At 34.9% G+C, this 16,650-nt stretch overlaps 1 long non-coding RNA gene across 4 annotated transcripts in view; it reads right to left on the bottom strand.

The window, feature by feature from the left end:
* LOC105370467 (uncharacterized) overlaps positions 1–16,082 on the bottom strand; it is a 186,853-nt gene extending 170,771 nt beyond the window's left edge. For all 4 annotated transcript variants that reach the window (XR_007064132.1, XR_007064130.1, XR_007064131.1 and 1 more), the window contains exon 1: positions 16,005–16,082. This is a non-coding gene — a long non-coding RNA (uncharacterized LOC105370467). The remainder of the gene's footprint in view (positions 1–16,004) is intronic.
* Between the last annotated feature and the right edge of the window lie 568 nt (positions 16,083–16,650).

Here is a 16,650-nt window from a genome sequence, read left to right as displayed (position 1 = left end):
ATGTCTATATACTCCACCACTTATTTATTACATTTATTATAGAGAAAATTGATGACAACCTAAGTATCTAGTAATTACTTACTAGGTAAATTATACAGTAAGATTGTCTTAGAATTTATTTTCTCATGTATTAAATATTATACTTTTAGATATCTTAACTTCCACTTAAAAACTTCAATAGCAACAAAATATTTTATATTAATAAATGACTTATTTACTATTATTCTTTTTATGTTTAAAAATTTATAAATGGTTCTCTTCGGATGCATAGATTAAAAATTCCCAGGTTCTATAATAATTTATTAATAAAGATTGTCAGTAGAAGTTAAAACAATAGGGGGCACTAATTCTTTGCTTTACATTTCTGCATAAAATGCATCTGGGAGATACTGATAACCCAGATGTTCTTGCTCTCTCATCTTGGCTTGCATTTGCCTGCCTTTGCTGCTTATTAAACCATCCACCAACTTCCTATGCCCAATAACTCTCAAAAGAACACAAATGGATATAATAGGTGTTCTTTCTAAAATTCCTCAGCTTTCCAATATTCTGCATGTTAAGCAAGGGGAGTATTTGAAGCCAGATGTTATATATCAATATTTGTTATTTTGTCAGTTTTGTGCCCTGAGTATGCTCTTATTGGGCTCAGAGTGTGTAATAGCTCTCTTAAATAGTTTCACTAGTTTTATGACCCTTTTTCCAGTGGATAAGCAAACCATTTTCAAGGGATCAATGGTAGAACAAAAAACACCAACCCAGTTCAAACTTTTCTTTTTTTAATTAAAGTACGCTGCTCCCAAAATTTTATTTGCATGTATTGGTATGTATATTTAATTATCAAACATTTTATATACAGTCACGCATCACATAATGATGGAGATATGTTCTGAGTAAGGAATCATTAGGTGACTTTGTTGTGCAAACATAATAGTGTGCTTACATAAACCTAAATGGTATGCTTGCTACATACTTAGGCTATAAGGTATAGCCTATTGCTTCTGAGCTACAAACCCATACAGTATGTTATTTCATGGAATTCTGTAGGCAATTGTAACACAATAGTAAGCAGTTGTGTATATAAACATAAAAAAGATGCAGTAAAACTATGATGTTATAATCTTATGGGACAATTGTTGTATATGTGGTTTGAAATATTGTTATATGGTACATGACTGTAAATACAGAAAGAAACACATCTATATGTGAACATACACACAGACATGTATGCAATATGTATTTTTGTGATTTATTTAGTCTTTCAATTATCATTCAACTTTGAGATAAATACAACACTATTAATTATTTTACTGTTTTAATATATTGTGTAATATACAATTTATATTATAAACTTATTTTTGCAGTGCAATAGTTAATTTTGTGTGTCAACTTGTATAGGATGTGTAGTGCCTAGACCTTTAGTCAAACATTATCCTTGCTGTGTCATCAGGGGTATTTTTAGATTGGATTAACATTTAAATCAATAGACTGAATAAAGCAGGTTGCCCTTCCTAATGCGAGTGGGCCTCATCAAATCAGCTGAAGGTCTGAATAGGCTAAAAGGCTGATCTTCCCCCAAATGAGAAAGAATTCCTCCTGCCTCACTGCCTTCAAGCTGCAACATTAACTTTTTTCTTGCCTTTGGACTGAAACTGAAGCCGTGAACATTCCTGGCTGTCAAGCCAACCAGCCTTCAGACTCGAAGTATGCCATTGCCTTTCCTAGTGCGCAGGCCTTTGGACCCAGACAGTAGCCACATCATCAACTCTTCTGGGTCTCTAGCTTGCCAGCTCATCCCACAGATATTGAGACTTGCCAGCCTCGTAATTGTGTGAGTTAATTCCTTATAATAAATGGCTTCATATAGATATATATACACACCCATTGGTTTTGTTTCACTGTAGAACCCTGGCTAATACACGAAGTATGAACATAGCATCCTTAAGTTATGAAATTTGTTATTATATTAACTTTTTTGAGTAAACATAAAATATTTTCAATTTTCAAATAAAAATACTCTCATTAAAATGTTAACAGTTATACCTTTATTACAAAATAAAAACTAATTTTAACCTCTTTATAGCACTTCAAAATTTTAATCTTACAATATGTTTATCTCTTCATTTAGTGAGGTCTTGTGTTAGTTCCCTTAGAAAGTATTAGTTTTTTTCACATAGTTACTTGTATTTCCAACTATATATTTCTAGGTAAGTTATTTGCTGTTACTAGAATATTTTCCCTCATCTCTTTCTTTTAAGTAAATAAATCTTTAAAAATACAGCTCAACAGCCAAAGCCCTAAACTTTCTTTTTCTTTTTTTATTGAGATAGGCTCTCACTCTGTCACCTTGACTGGAATGCAGTGGTGCAATCTAGACTCACAGCAACCCCTGCCTCCCGGGCTCAAGCAATCCATTAACTTCAGCCTCCTGAGTAGCTGGGACTACAGGCATGCGCCACCATGCCTGGCTAATTTTTGTATTTTTCCTAGAGACAGGATGTCACTATGTTGGCCAGGCAGGTCTCAAACTCCTGGGCTCAAGTGATCCACCATGCCCAGCGAACTTTTCTCCTTTAACTTTTCTTTTTCTAGCAATGAACACTATCCAAAGTTGAAGTGGATCATTTGCATATAATATTCAGTAATTAACAAAAATTGGCATTAGTATTGCTTAAAAATGACAAACATTAGCGATTTCATTTGTCTCAGTCTTGCCAGATATAAGCAACTATTTTGATGTTTTTATTTTTTATTATTTTAATTTTCTATTTTTTATTTTTAAACTTTCATTTTAGGTTTGGGGATACATGTACCGGTTTGTGATATGAATAAATAGCAGGTCATGGGGGTTCGGTTTACAGATTATTTCATCACCAAGGTAATAAGCATAGTACCTGATAGGTAGTTTTTCAATCCTCACTCTCCTCCCATCCTCCACCCTCAAGTAGGCTCCAGTGTCTATTGTACCCTTCATTGTGCTCATGTGTACTGAATGTTTAGCTCCCCTTATGTGAGAGCATGCGGTATTTGGTTTTTGATTTCTTTGTTAATTTGCTTATGATAATGTACTACAACTGTATCAACTTTGCTCCAGGGGACATGATCCCATTCATTTTTTATGGCTACGTTGTATTCCATGGTGTATGTGTACAAAATTTTCTTTAACCAGCCCACCATTCATGGGCATTTAGGTTGATTCCATGTCTTTGCTATTGTGAATAGTGCTGAAATGAACATATGCATACACGTGTATTTATGGCAAAAATATTTCTATTTATTGAGTGAAAACCAGGTAATGGGATTGCTTGGTCAAATGGTAGTTCTGTTTTAAGTTCTTTGAGAAACTCCAAACTGCTTCCCAAAGTGCCTTAACTAATTTCCATTCCCACCAGCAATGCATAAGCATTCTTTTTCCCCACAACCTCGCCTGCATCTATTATTTTTTGACTTCTTAATATTAGCCATTTAGACTGGTGTGAAATAGTATCTCACTATGGTTTTTTATTTCCATTTCTCTAATGATCAGTGATGTTAAGCATTTTTTTGTATGTTTCTTTGCCATGTGCATTTACTCTTTGCACAAGGGTCTGTTCATATCGTTTGCTCATTTTTTAATAGGAATGTATGTTTTTTCAATTGCTGATTTGATTAAGTTCTTCATAGATTCTGGATATTAGATTTTTGTTGGATACATAGTTTGAAAATATGTTTTCTCATTCTGTAGGTTTTCTGTTTACTCAAGTGATAGCCTTATTTGCTGTGCAGAAGACTTTTTTCTTTGTGTTGTTGTTGTTGTTTTTTGAGACCGAGTGTCGCTCTGTCGCCCAGGCTGGAGTGCAGTGGTGTGATCTCAGCTCACTGCAAGCTCTGCCTCCTGGGTTCTTGCCATTCTCCTGCCTCAGCCTCCCGAGTAGCTAGGACTACAGGTGCCCGCCACCACGCCTGGCTAATTTTTTGTATTTTTAGTAGACATGGGGTTTCACTGTGTTAGCCAGGATGGTCTTGATCTCCTGACTTTGTGATCCACCTGCCTCAGCCTCCCAAAGTGCTGGGATGACAGGCGTGAGCCACTGTGTCCAGCCATCCTTTTAGCTTAATTAGGTTCCATTTGTCAATTTTTGCTTGTGCTGCAGTTACATTTGGCACTTATATCATGAAATCTTTGCCAGGGCCAATCTCCAGAATTGTATTTCCCAGGTTTTTGTATTAGTCCATTCTCAACATTGCTATAAAGAACTAACCATGACAGGGTAATTTATTTAAATAAAAGTGAGGTTTAATTGACTCACAGTTTCACAGACTGCACAGGAAGCATGGCTAGGGAGGCCTCAGAAAACTTAAAATCATGGCAGAAGGCAAAGGGGAAGCAGGCATGTCTTACACGGCCAGAGAAGGAGAAAGAGTGAAATAACAGGTGTTAAACACTTTCAAGCAACCAGATCTCATGACAACTCACTCACTATCATAAGCACAAAGGTAAAATCCACCCCTATGATCCAAAGACCTCCCACCAGGTCCCTCCTCCAACACTGGGGATTACAATTCAACATGAGATTTGGGCAGGGACATAAATCCAAACCATATTAGTTTACTTGTAGGGTTTTTATAGTTTTACATTTTACATTTAAGTCTTTAATCCATCTTGGCTTGACTTTTTCTATGGTGAAAGGAAGGAGTCCAGTTTCAATCTTTTGCATATGGCTATCCAGTTATCTTGCCACCATTTATTGGATAGGGAGTCCTTTCCCTGTTGCTTGTTTTTGTCGACCTTGTTGCAGATCAGATGGTTGTAGGTATGTGGCTGTACTTCTGGGTTCTCTATTCTGTTTCATTGGTCTGTGTCTGTTTTTATACCAGACTGTCCTGTGTTGGTTACTGTAGCCTTGTAGTATAGTTTATAGTCAGTAATGTGATGCCTTCAGCTTTGTTATTTTTGCTTCAAATTGTTTTGGCTATTTAGATACTTTTTAGCTTCCAAAGACATTTTAGAATAGTTTTTTCTAACTCTATAAAAAATGTCCTTGGTAGTTTGATAGAAATAACATTTAATCTTTAAATTGTTTTGTGCAGTATGGACATTGTAATAATGTAGATCATTTCCATCCATGAGCAGGAAATGTTTTTCCATTTGTTTGTGTCATCTCTGATTTATTTCTGCACTGTTTTCTGTTTTGTAATTATCATTGCAGACATCTTTCACTTCCTTGGTTAGCTGTGTTCCTAGGTATTTGTGTGTGTTTTTGTGTATGTGTGTGTGGGTGTGTGTGTATTGTGAATAGGATAATATTCTTGATTTTGCTCTCATCTTGAACTTTGTTGGTATATAGAAATGCTACCAATTTTTGCACATTGATTTTGTATTCTAAAACTTTGCTGAAGTTATTTATTAGACCTAGGAGATTTTGGGTATAGACTATGGGGTTTCCTAGGTATGAAATCATAGTGTCTGTGAAGACAAGTAGTTTGACTTATTCTCTTCTTATTTGGATGACTTTAATTTCTTTCTCTTGCCTTATTGCTATGCCTGGGACTTCAAGTTCTACCCTTCCAGTACTTGAATAGGAGTTGTGAGAGTCAGCATCCTTGTCTTATTCTAATTCTCAAGGGGAATGCTTCAAGCTTTTGCCTGTTCTATACAATGTTGGTTTTAGGTGTGAGATAGATGGCTCTTATTGATTTAACTTATGTTGGTTTGATGTTAACTTGTTGATAGTTTTTTAACATCAAGGGATGTCACATTTTATCAGCTATTGAGATGTTCATGTGATTTTTTTTAGTCCTGTTTATGTGATAAATCACATTTATTGATTATCATATGTTGAGCCAACCTTGCATCTCAGGAATAAACCTTATGTGATTATAGTGGATTAGTTTCTGATCTGCTGATAAATTTGATTTGCTTGTATTTTGTGAGAATTTTTGCACCTATGTTTATCATCAATATTGTTAGACTGGTCTCTTGAAGACAGTATAAGTTGGGTCTTGTTTCTTTATCCACCTGAAATTTTATTTTTTATTTTTGTTATGTCTCTTCCAGGCTTGATATCAGAGTAATGCTGGCTTCCTAGAATGAGTTAGGGAGGAGTCCCTCTTCCTCAATTTTTGGGAATAATTTCAGGAAGATTAGTACTAACTCTTCTTTGTACACCTGGTAGAATTCAGCTGTGAATCCATCTGCTCCAGGGCTATTTTTTATAAGTAGGTTTCTTTTAACTAATTCAATTTTGAATCTCATTATTGATCTATTCATGAATTCAATTTCTTCATGGTTCAGTCTTGGCAAGTTGAACATTTTCAGGAATTTGTCTATTTCTTGAAAATTTTTTTCATTTGTGTGAATAGAAATGTTTACAGTAGTCTCTGAGGGTTTTTTTTTTCCTGTGGGATCAGTGGTAATGTTCCCTTTGTCATTTCTGATTATTATTATTTGGATTCCTTCTCTTTTCTGTTAATCTAGGTAGTGCTCTATCAATCTTATATATTCTTTTCAAGAAACAGCTTTGGGTTTCATTGATATTTTGTATGATTTTTCATGTCTCCATTTCAAGCAGTTCAACTCTTATATTGGTTATATCTTTTCTTCTACTAGCTTTTCAGTCAGTTTGCTCTTTTTTTTCTAGTACCTCTAGGTGTGATGCTACCTTGTTAATTTCAGATCTTTCTTTTTGATGTGGGTGTTTAGCACTATAAACTTTCAACAATGATTTCACTGTGTCCCAAAGATTCTGGTTATGTTATATCTTTGCTTTAATTCACTTCAAATAATTTCTTGATTTCTGCCTTGATTTTATTGCTTACCCAAAAGTCCTTCAGAAGCAGTTTTTTTAATCATCATGTAATCATATGGTTTTGAGAGACCTTCTTAGTATTGATTTCTACTTTCATTGTATGTAGTCTAAGAGAGTGGTTTGTATAATTTCATTTTTTTGAATTTGTTGGGAATAGCTTTATTCCTGATCATCTGGTCAATTTTAGAGTATTTGCCATATGCAGATAAGAAGAATGTATATTGTGTTGCAGTAGGGTGGAGTGTTCTCTAGATGTCCGTTAGGTCCATTTGTTCAAGTGTCAAATTCCTGAATGTTCCCAAGTCCTAAATGTCATTGTTTTCTTCCTCGATTATCTGTCCAATAATGTCAGTGGGGTGCTGAAGTGTCTCACTGTTATTGCGTGGTTATCTAAGTCTCTTCTTAGGTCTTGAAGAATTTGTTTTATGAATCTGGATGCTCCAATGTTCAGTGCATATATATTTAGGATAGTTAAGTCTTCTTGCATTGAACCCTTATGTAATGCCCATCTTTGTCTTCTTTGACTGTTGTTGATTTAAAGTCTGTTTCATCTTAAATTAGAACAGCAACACCTGCTATAGTTTGTTTTCTGTGTGGTTGACAGGTTATTCTCCATTCCTTTATTTTGAGTCTATGGGTGTCATTACACATTAGATTGGTCTCTTCAAGACAGCATATAGTTGGGTGTTGTTTCTGTATCCACCTTGCCACTCTGTGACTTTTATTTGTAGTGTTTAGTCCATTTACATTCAAGGTTAATATTGATATGTGTGGATTTGATTCTGGTATCATGTTGCTAGCTGATTGTTATGCAGACTTGGTTGTGTAGTTGTTTTATAGTGTCAATGGTCTGTGTACTTAAGTGTGTTTTTGTGGTGGCTGGTAATAGGCTTATTGTTTTCTTGTTTAGTCTCTTAAGGGCTTCTCATAATGCAAGTCTGTTGATAATAAATTACCTTAGCATTTGTTTGTCTGAAAAGGATCTTATTTCTCCTGGGCTTATGAAGTTTAGTTTGGCTGAATATAAAATTCTTGATTGAAATTTCTTTCCTTTATTTATACTGGATTTAGTCCCCCAATCTCTTCTGGCTTATAAGATTTCTGCTGAAAGATTCACTGTTAGTGATAAAAGTAAAGTGTTTGGTATAATAATGAAGGGATTCAAACTAAACTTCTATCTTTTCCTCTCTGCATGATAATTTTTGTAGCAAGGTGTTTCCTCTGTGAAATATGAATAGTGATATCATCTCCATCATAGGAAGGTATAAGGCTTAAATGCAATAATATGTGTTTATAAAGTATTTAATTCAATAGTCTCAGAAATAATATGCATCTAAAAATCTTATTAGTGTTGTTATACACATCCACACGTGTGTGTACATAAATGTGTGTGTATATTTATTCTTTATATATATAAACCCTTCATATATATTCTTCATATATAAATAAACTGCAAAACCACATAATTCTCTAATTCCACTTACCATATGTGCATTAACAAGGTTGAGAGGCTGAGAAATTGAATGAGTTCTTTCCATAATCGAAAGAATTTAAAAAAAGTAGTTTTCTTCTATTTCAACAGAAGTCACTTGGGGAGACTTAAAAGCCATTTCATATGGAGTTTTGGGAAAAATTTTTAATAAATTAAATATAAAAATATGTAAAATGACTGAATATTTTTAGTAGTAAGAAGACAATCTATACCATGTATATAATGTCAAATAAGTTTTGTCCAGCAGTGTCAAAGTCAGTGATGCTTTCTTAGTTCAGAGGATTTTCAGATTTGTATGTAAATTTATCAACATCACAGGAAAATAAAATATTTTCCCCAATAAAAGCTTTCTTCATAGATATAGATGGCTTCATATATAAGCTTTATATATATATATATATATATATGAAGCCAAATCTTACTAGCCAAGAAAATGGGGAAAATGGCTCCAGGGCATGTCAAAGTTCTTTAAGACAGTCCCTCCTATCACAAGTGCAGAGGCCTAGGAAAAAAAAATGATGTCATAGGCTGAGCCCAAGGCTCCGCTGCTCTGTGCAGCCCGAGGGCATAGCACCCTGCATTTCAGCCACTCCAGCTAAAGCTGTGGCTTGTTTCAGAGGGTTCAAGCCCCAAGCCTTGGCAGCTTCCACATGGCTTTGTGCCTGCAGGTGCACAGGAGTTAAGAGTTGAAGTTTGGGAACCTCTCCCTAGATTTTGGAGGATGTATGAAAATGTCTTGATGTTCAGGCAGAAGTCTGCTGCAGTGGTGGAGCCCTTATGGAAAACCTCTGCTAGGGTAGTGTGTAAAGGAAATGTGGGGTTGGAGCCTCTACACAGAGTCCCCACTGGGGCACTGCTTAGTGGAGCTGTAAGAAGAAGACCACCATCTTCCAGAGCCCAGTAATGTAGATCCACTGACAGCTTGCACCATGCACTTGAGAAAGCCATAAGCACTCAACACGAGCCCATGAAAGCAACCACAGGGGCTGTACCCTGCAGAGTCACAGGGGCAGGGCTGCCCAGGGCTGTGGGGGTGCCCCCTTGCTTCAGTGTGTCCTGAATGTGAGACATGGATTCAAAGGAGAATTTGGAATTTTAAGATTTAATGACTGCCCTGTTGGGTTTTGGACTGGCATAAGGCCTGTGGCCCCTTTGTTTTGGCCAATTTCACATTTGAAATGGGAGCATTTATCCAATGCTTGTACCCTCATTGTATATTGAAAGTAATTAACTTGCTTTTGATTTTACAGGCTCATAAGTGGAAGAGACTTGACTTGTCTCAGATGAGACTTTTGAATTGGACTTTTGGGTTGATGCAAGAATGAGTTAATACTTTAGGGGGCTGTTGGGAGACATGATTGGCTATTAAATGTGAAAAGGACATGAGAGTTGGGAAGAACCAGGGGAAGAATGATATGGTTTGTCTCTGTGTCCCCATCCAAATCTCAATTTGTAATCCAAATTGCAATCCCCATGTGTCCAAAGAGAGACCTGGGGGAAGGTGATTGGATCTTGGGGGTGGTTTCCCCCATGCTGTTTTTGTGACAGTGATTGACTTCTCACAAGATCTGATGGTTTTAGAAGTGGCAGTTTCCTCTGTTTCTCTCACTCCTGCCACCTTGTTAAGAAGGTATTTGCATCTCCTTCAGCTTCCTCCATGACTGTAACTTTCCTGAGGCCTCCCCAGCCAAGTGGAACTGTGAGTCAATTAAACCCCTTTTCTTTATGAATTACCCATTCTTAGGTAGTATCTTTATAACAGTGAGAAAATAAACTAATCCAGCATTGGATCTAAATTTTACTACTTAGAATTTCCAAGCTTTGTAGCTGAGACTTTAGGGATCTGCATTTTATATCTGAATTATTCAATGCAGTGGTATTGGCCACATGTCATTATTGAATACTCAAAATAGAACTAGTCCAAATTGAGATGTGCTACAATTGTAAAGTGTACACATGTTTTTAAAGGCTTTATGAGAATAACATCACAACAATGATTCTATATTGATTAAATGTGAAAATGAAAATATTTGGGGTATAGTTATTTAAATAAAATATAATATTAAAATTAATTTCACTTTAATTTTATTAAACTGTGGCTACTATAAAACTTGAAATTACAAATCTGGTTTGCATTGTATTACTGTTGGATGGTACTGTTATATATGCTACAATAATTTTTCACATTCCTTATATTGTACATTTATTAATTCAATACTATTTTGAAGCATCTTTTACAAAAATAAATAGTGTTTTGAAGCTAATTTGTAGTGTTCAGCAATTAATTTTAAATTCTGTGTAAAAGTTAATAATAGCATCAGTTTTTATTGTAAAAATAATTGATGTTTTCAAGAGTTAAAATATGTTCTCATTTGTATTGTATCACAATTTTTAATATCATATTAAGTTGATAAATGTCACAGCTAATCATAAAATGAGAAGTATAACCCATGTTCAAGCCACGTTTTTAAGGCAGGTATAAAACTTTAATTTTAAGGACAGTTTTCAATAGATGTCAATTACTTCCACAAAAAATGTCTGGATTAGATCTAATTATTGACTCATTAAAATTTAGTTCAATTTGTAATGAAGAGAAAAACATTATTGATATAGTTTGGATATCTGGCATCATCCAAATCTCATGTTGAAATGTAGTCCCCAATGTTGGAGGTGGGGTGTCTTAATGGGAGGTGTTTGAGTCATGGGGACAGAATCCTCATGGAGCTTGGTGCTTTCCTCACAATAGTGAGTGAGTCTTATAAGATCTGGTTGTTTAAGTGTGTGGCACCATGCCACACTAGCTCTTGTTCCTGCTTTTACCATGTGACATGTCTGCTCCTTTTACATCTTCTGCCATGAGTAAAAGCACCCTGAGGCCTTCCCAGAAGCTGAGCTGATGCTGGTGCCAGGCTTATACTGCCTGCAGAACTGTGAGCCAATTAAACCTCTTTTTTTATACATTATCCGGCCTCAGGTATTACTTTGATGCGATATTAGAACAGCCTAATATAGAAAATTATTAACAGGAACAGGGTCTTACCATAAGGACACCTGAAAATGTGGAAGCAGCTTTGGAAGTGGATAATAGGCAGATTTTGAAAGAATTTGGAGGGCTCCGAAGAAGACAGGAAGATAAGGGAAAGTTTAGATCTTAAAGAATGGTTAAATTGATGGGACCAAAATGGCAATAGTGATACAGACAGTGAAGTCCAGTCTGAAAAGGTCTCAGATGGAAATGAGGAACTTATATGGAACTGGAACAAAGGCCACATGGGTTATGCCTTAGCAAAGAACTTGGCTGCATTATGTTCATGACCTAGGGATCTGTGGAAGTTTGAATCTCAGAGTGATAATACAGAGTGTCTGGCAGAAAAAATTTCTAAGCATCAAACACATCAACATGTGTTCTGGTTGCTTCTAACAACCTACACTCCGATATGGAAGCAAAGAAATAATGTAAAGTTGGAATTTATATTTAAACAGGAAGCAGAGCATAAAAGCTTGGAGCCCCCATATAGAGTCCCCAGTGGGGCACTGCCTAGTGGAGTTATAAGAAGGGGAATATTAATTCCCAGATTTTTGTTTGGTTCTTTTTTATAATATCAACCTGTGTTGGATTTTTCATTCACATCATATACTGTTTTACAGATATTGTTTTTTTATCTGTGTTCTCTTGTATCTCACTGAGCTTACTTAAAACATTATTTTGGATTCCTTTTCAGGTATTTTATAGATTTTCTTATCTTCGGGTCTGTTACTAGATAATTATTGTATTCCTTTGGAGGCATCACATTTCCATGCCTTTTTATGTTTCTTTTGTTTCTAAATTGATAGCTGTACACCTGATGGAACAGGTGCTTCTTTTAATTTTATAGAATAACTTAGCTTTCATAGGGAAATACATTTTTCTGTAGATATGTCCAATAGTGTCAGTTGGGTAGGTTACTTTGGCTTTGGTTGCGGGTGGGTACCAGAGTGTACTCTACATATGATTTCTTTAGCTATTGTCAATGTCAGTACTATCTGCAAGTACTTCAGCGGCCTATGCTGTGGTTGCTTGTGAAAGCTGTGGCATGGATTTGTTGAAGAAAAAAATGCAAGTGGAATGATCCTCAGTCTCTGGGGTGTTTCATCAGTGCAGGTAGGGGCTCAGCTGCTGGAGTGGGTTGGATGCCAGGAGTGGTGGGCTCAGATTATGAGCACGTTTTGATGTTGTTGTTTTTGCTAAATACTGAAGAGGATAAACTAGAATCCTTCTTCATGAGGAATATAGATATAACAAGAAGAAAATACCTGTATACATACATCTAATATGCAAGGCTTATTTATTTAAGTATCAGAGAAGTGATTTGGTTGATGAGTTTGGAGAAATAAGAAACCATATTCACCTGACTTGAAAAATATTTTAGTGAAGAATATTAAAGATGAACTAGTTATGAAAATTAAGTAGATTTTGACAGAAAAAAATATGTAATGAAATAAAATAGATCCACATTTGGTAATCAGCAAATAATTCAAGTAGAAATAATTTTCTTGTAAGTAGGAAGTAAAAACTAGTCTAGATAGTGAGGTTCCAGACTATGATGATATAAAGCAATTGTGGAAAATTTTATATTTTTTTCTGGTAGTATGAAAAGAGCCAAGCTATTGCTAGATTTATTTCATAAAATTATAAATTTTATAACAAAAAGATTAAATAAAGAGAGATATTTAAAATATCGTTAGCTATAATACTACTATATAAAGTGCACTAATAAGATCCTGAATAAGAGTGATGATATTGGAAATTGAGAAGTGGAAGTAAGGTATTCTGGATAGATAGAATTGACTATACTTGAGAACCAGTTCAGACCTGTTTCAGCAACAAGACCAGAATAAATATTGAGCATGGTTGGCTATGTTTTTTTACTCTTCAACGTGAGATTGATTTTACATTTCTAGTATATTGTATTAGGAATTTTAATAAAATTGCTAAGATACATATTTTTCTCACCTCCAAGACTTGGGACATTATGTTTTATGTATTAAATTTCTATTTATTTATTAAATGTTGAAGCAAGCTCAAATTTATACTGTGGTCATGAGAATAAAACATTTTCAATTTCGTTGCTGCCCTGATGTTCTGTCACCTTCCGAATATATTACTTTTTATTTTCTCTATATAAGACATTCACATTCTTACCCTTATCACAGTCATTTAAAATTAAGGTAGGAATGAGACATTATTATATGTAATCCACAGACCTCTTACAAATATCACAAATTTTCAGAAGTCTAAAATAATTAAATTCATAATTCCATATTGCATTTAGTTATCATGTCTTTTAGTTCCCGTCAACCTGGAACATTCCCCATTCTTTTCTTGACTTTCATGACCTTTTTAAGATTACAGGCCGTTTATTTTGTAGAGTGCTAATCCATTTAAACGTGTTTGATGCTTTTTCTAATTTGATTCACAGTGTGTTTATTTGGCAGGAATATCACAGCAGTTATGCTGCCTTCCTATTGCATCCTAACAGATGTTAAGTTTCAAACTGTCCCAGTACTGATGAAGTTCATTATGATTACTTCATTAAGATGGATTCTGACATGCTTTTTCTTTAGAGAGTTATTCTTATTTCTCATTTGTAATTTCTTACTTTATGGAAAAACACTGTGAAATTATATAATATTGCATCCTTTATTATTTTTAAATATATCAATTTTTAATTAATTTATGATTTTATATTTTATAAAATTTCCTCATTTTCAGGTTAAATTGTCCAAGATTTGGATAATGACAGCTGGTTTCTATGTCTTTCTGACATGGAAAACTTTCCTGGGAACTTTCTTCTGTCCTGGAGAAACAAGATGCCTCAGACTCATCTTGTATTTTTACTGCTTCAGTCCTCCAACCAGACATTTTGTCCAAGATGCCCTGGTTTGTTTATGGAAAAATATATTTAGAAGAGAAGATACATGTGCTATATGTGGTAGTGTGCTTACTACTCTTGGGATGTTACTGCTCCTAGACTGTTTTAGTGCACAAAGCTAGAAAATTTTTATGTACTGTATGAATAAATAGAAGTGCACATCTTTAGGTCTATACCTATTTCTCTATCTATCTGTTCATTGGACCATAACTTGAAAACCACAAGTTCATACTAATATTCCCAATTCTAATTCAATCCCAAAGGGTACATTTTATTCTTCCAGTTTCTGTAGTTGTAAATACAGGCTCTGATAATGAGACATTTAGTTCACATCAACTTATTTACTCATTTAGCCAATTTTTCATACGTAACAAATTTCTTAGCTTCACTTTGACCCTCCTCCACTACATAAATGCTCTTCTCACCCCAGTCTGACTCCCGTATCCAACACTAGGCTGAACGACCAGGGAGAAGACATTTTCTCCTCCTCCAGCCTCTAGAAAGGCCACCACTCTTCTCAGAAATTTCACTGGCCTTGCAATCTCTCTGTAAACAAAACCCCTGTGTGGACACAATTCTTATTCTGCTGAGACTTTAATACTGTAAGATAACATCTCTACCTACCCCAGTACTTAACAACCCACCACTAAACTTTAAATTTGGCAGAAATAAAATTTTCTACCACAATTCTCAGTTTTTAAGAAACCAAAATGTTGCAGTCAGCTTTGAAAAGACATGTCTTAATTCTCTTGCTATAGATAATACAATTTCCTTCTGTCTTCCTGTAATCGCCCAATGGATTCATTTTGCCTGCTGTCTAGACAGAGTCAATTTATCAAGATAAAGAAATTGCAATAGAGAAAGAGTAATTCACATAAATCTGGCTGTGCAGGAGACCAGAGTTTTATTATTACTCAAATCAGTCTCCCCAAGGATTCGGGATCAGCGTTTTCAAGGACAACTTGGTGCGTGGGGGGAAGCCAATGAGCCAGGAGTCCTGATTTGTTAGGTAGGAGATGAAATCATAGGAAATTGAAGTTGTCCTCCTGTGCGGAGTCAGTTCCTGAGTGGAAGCCATAAGATAAGATGAGCCAGTTAATCTTTCTGGCTGGTGCCAGCTGATCCACCAAGTGCGGGGTCTACAAAGTATCTCAAGCAGTGATCTTTGGAGCAGTTTAGGGAGGGTCGGAATCTTGGAGCCTCCAGCTGCATGATTCCTAAACCCTAATTTCTAATCTTGTGGATAATTTGTTAGTCCTACAAAGGCAGTCTAGTCTCCAGGCAAATGGCTAGGTTTGTTTTGGGAGAGGGCTGTTGTTATCTTTGTTTTAAACTATAAAAGAAGTCACTCCTAAAGTTATTTTAGCTTACACCCAGGAATGAACGAGGACAGCTTGGAGGTTAGAAGCAAGATGGAGTTGGTTACATCATATCTCTTTCACTGACACAGTTAGAATTTTGCAATGCTGTTTTCATTCCGATATCACTGTTAGTATTTCTCCTATGATATATTCTCTTGTAGTCATTACTATTACTTTCATCATCCTTACTCAACTGAAATCTCCTCTGTGACACTGGAGATGCCATATACTTTGTAGTTGAGTTTTTGTGGTATCTTACATAATGACTTATAACCAATAGAAGCTCAATTACTAACTACAATTTAGAACAATTATTATATTCACAAATAACCATTTGATTCTATGTGATTTTTACGAGCATTAAATGAATACAATCTGGGAAAAATATATAATGTAAGAATCTAAAGAAATCTATAGTTACTGTACGAAAAAATGTAAAAAATTTATATATTACCTTATTTCATTGAAAACACTTCTTTCATAGAGACAGAATATAAAAGGATCTTCCAAAGGAAAATACTATCAGTCAGTCCTAGAAAATAAATGGAAAATAAACCAAACGTATGTCAATACTAACGTATTTAAATGCTATTACATTTTCAAAGAGAAAATGCTTTTATGTTTGCAACAAAAGGTCAAACGTGATTTTCATTTAACTTGGCTGTCATCATAGACTCTTTGGCAGAAGCTTTCAAATACCATGGTACCATCGAGTTGAGTTTTAATAAATTTTGACAGAGCATTTTAATTCAGTATTTATGTATCATTTATAATATATTTGAATTCATTATCCAAATAAAGTAGTATAACCTAATTACTATAATTAGCTATACTAAACTATAACTGAAAATAGTTATCTTCTTTAACTACTATATATAAAAGTTTAGACATTATTTGAGCTGAATACACTTGTTCTAATAGATTTGTATAATAAGTAAGTAGGTGTGCATAAAGTATTTGAGAAAACATTTTTTTAAAAGCCCACTGATTTTTTAACTGTTTTGAACCTTTATACATATGGGACTCTCTTACCGTTATATACAAAACCTGCTTTATGAACTACAAAGGTAATATTTGCAACTTAGGACGTCAGACTGTTA

The sequence above is a fragment of the Homo sapiens genome, chromosome 14 (assembly GCF_000001405.40).
Source record: "Homo sapiens chromosome 14, GRCh38.p14 Primary Assembly".
In the NCBI taxonomy this organism is placed as follows: domain Eukaryota; kingdom Metazoa; phylum Chordata; class Mammalia; order Primates; family Hominidae; genus Homo; species Homo sapiens.
This window is presented reverse-complemented; position numbering and strand designations above follow the sequence as displayed.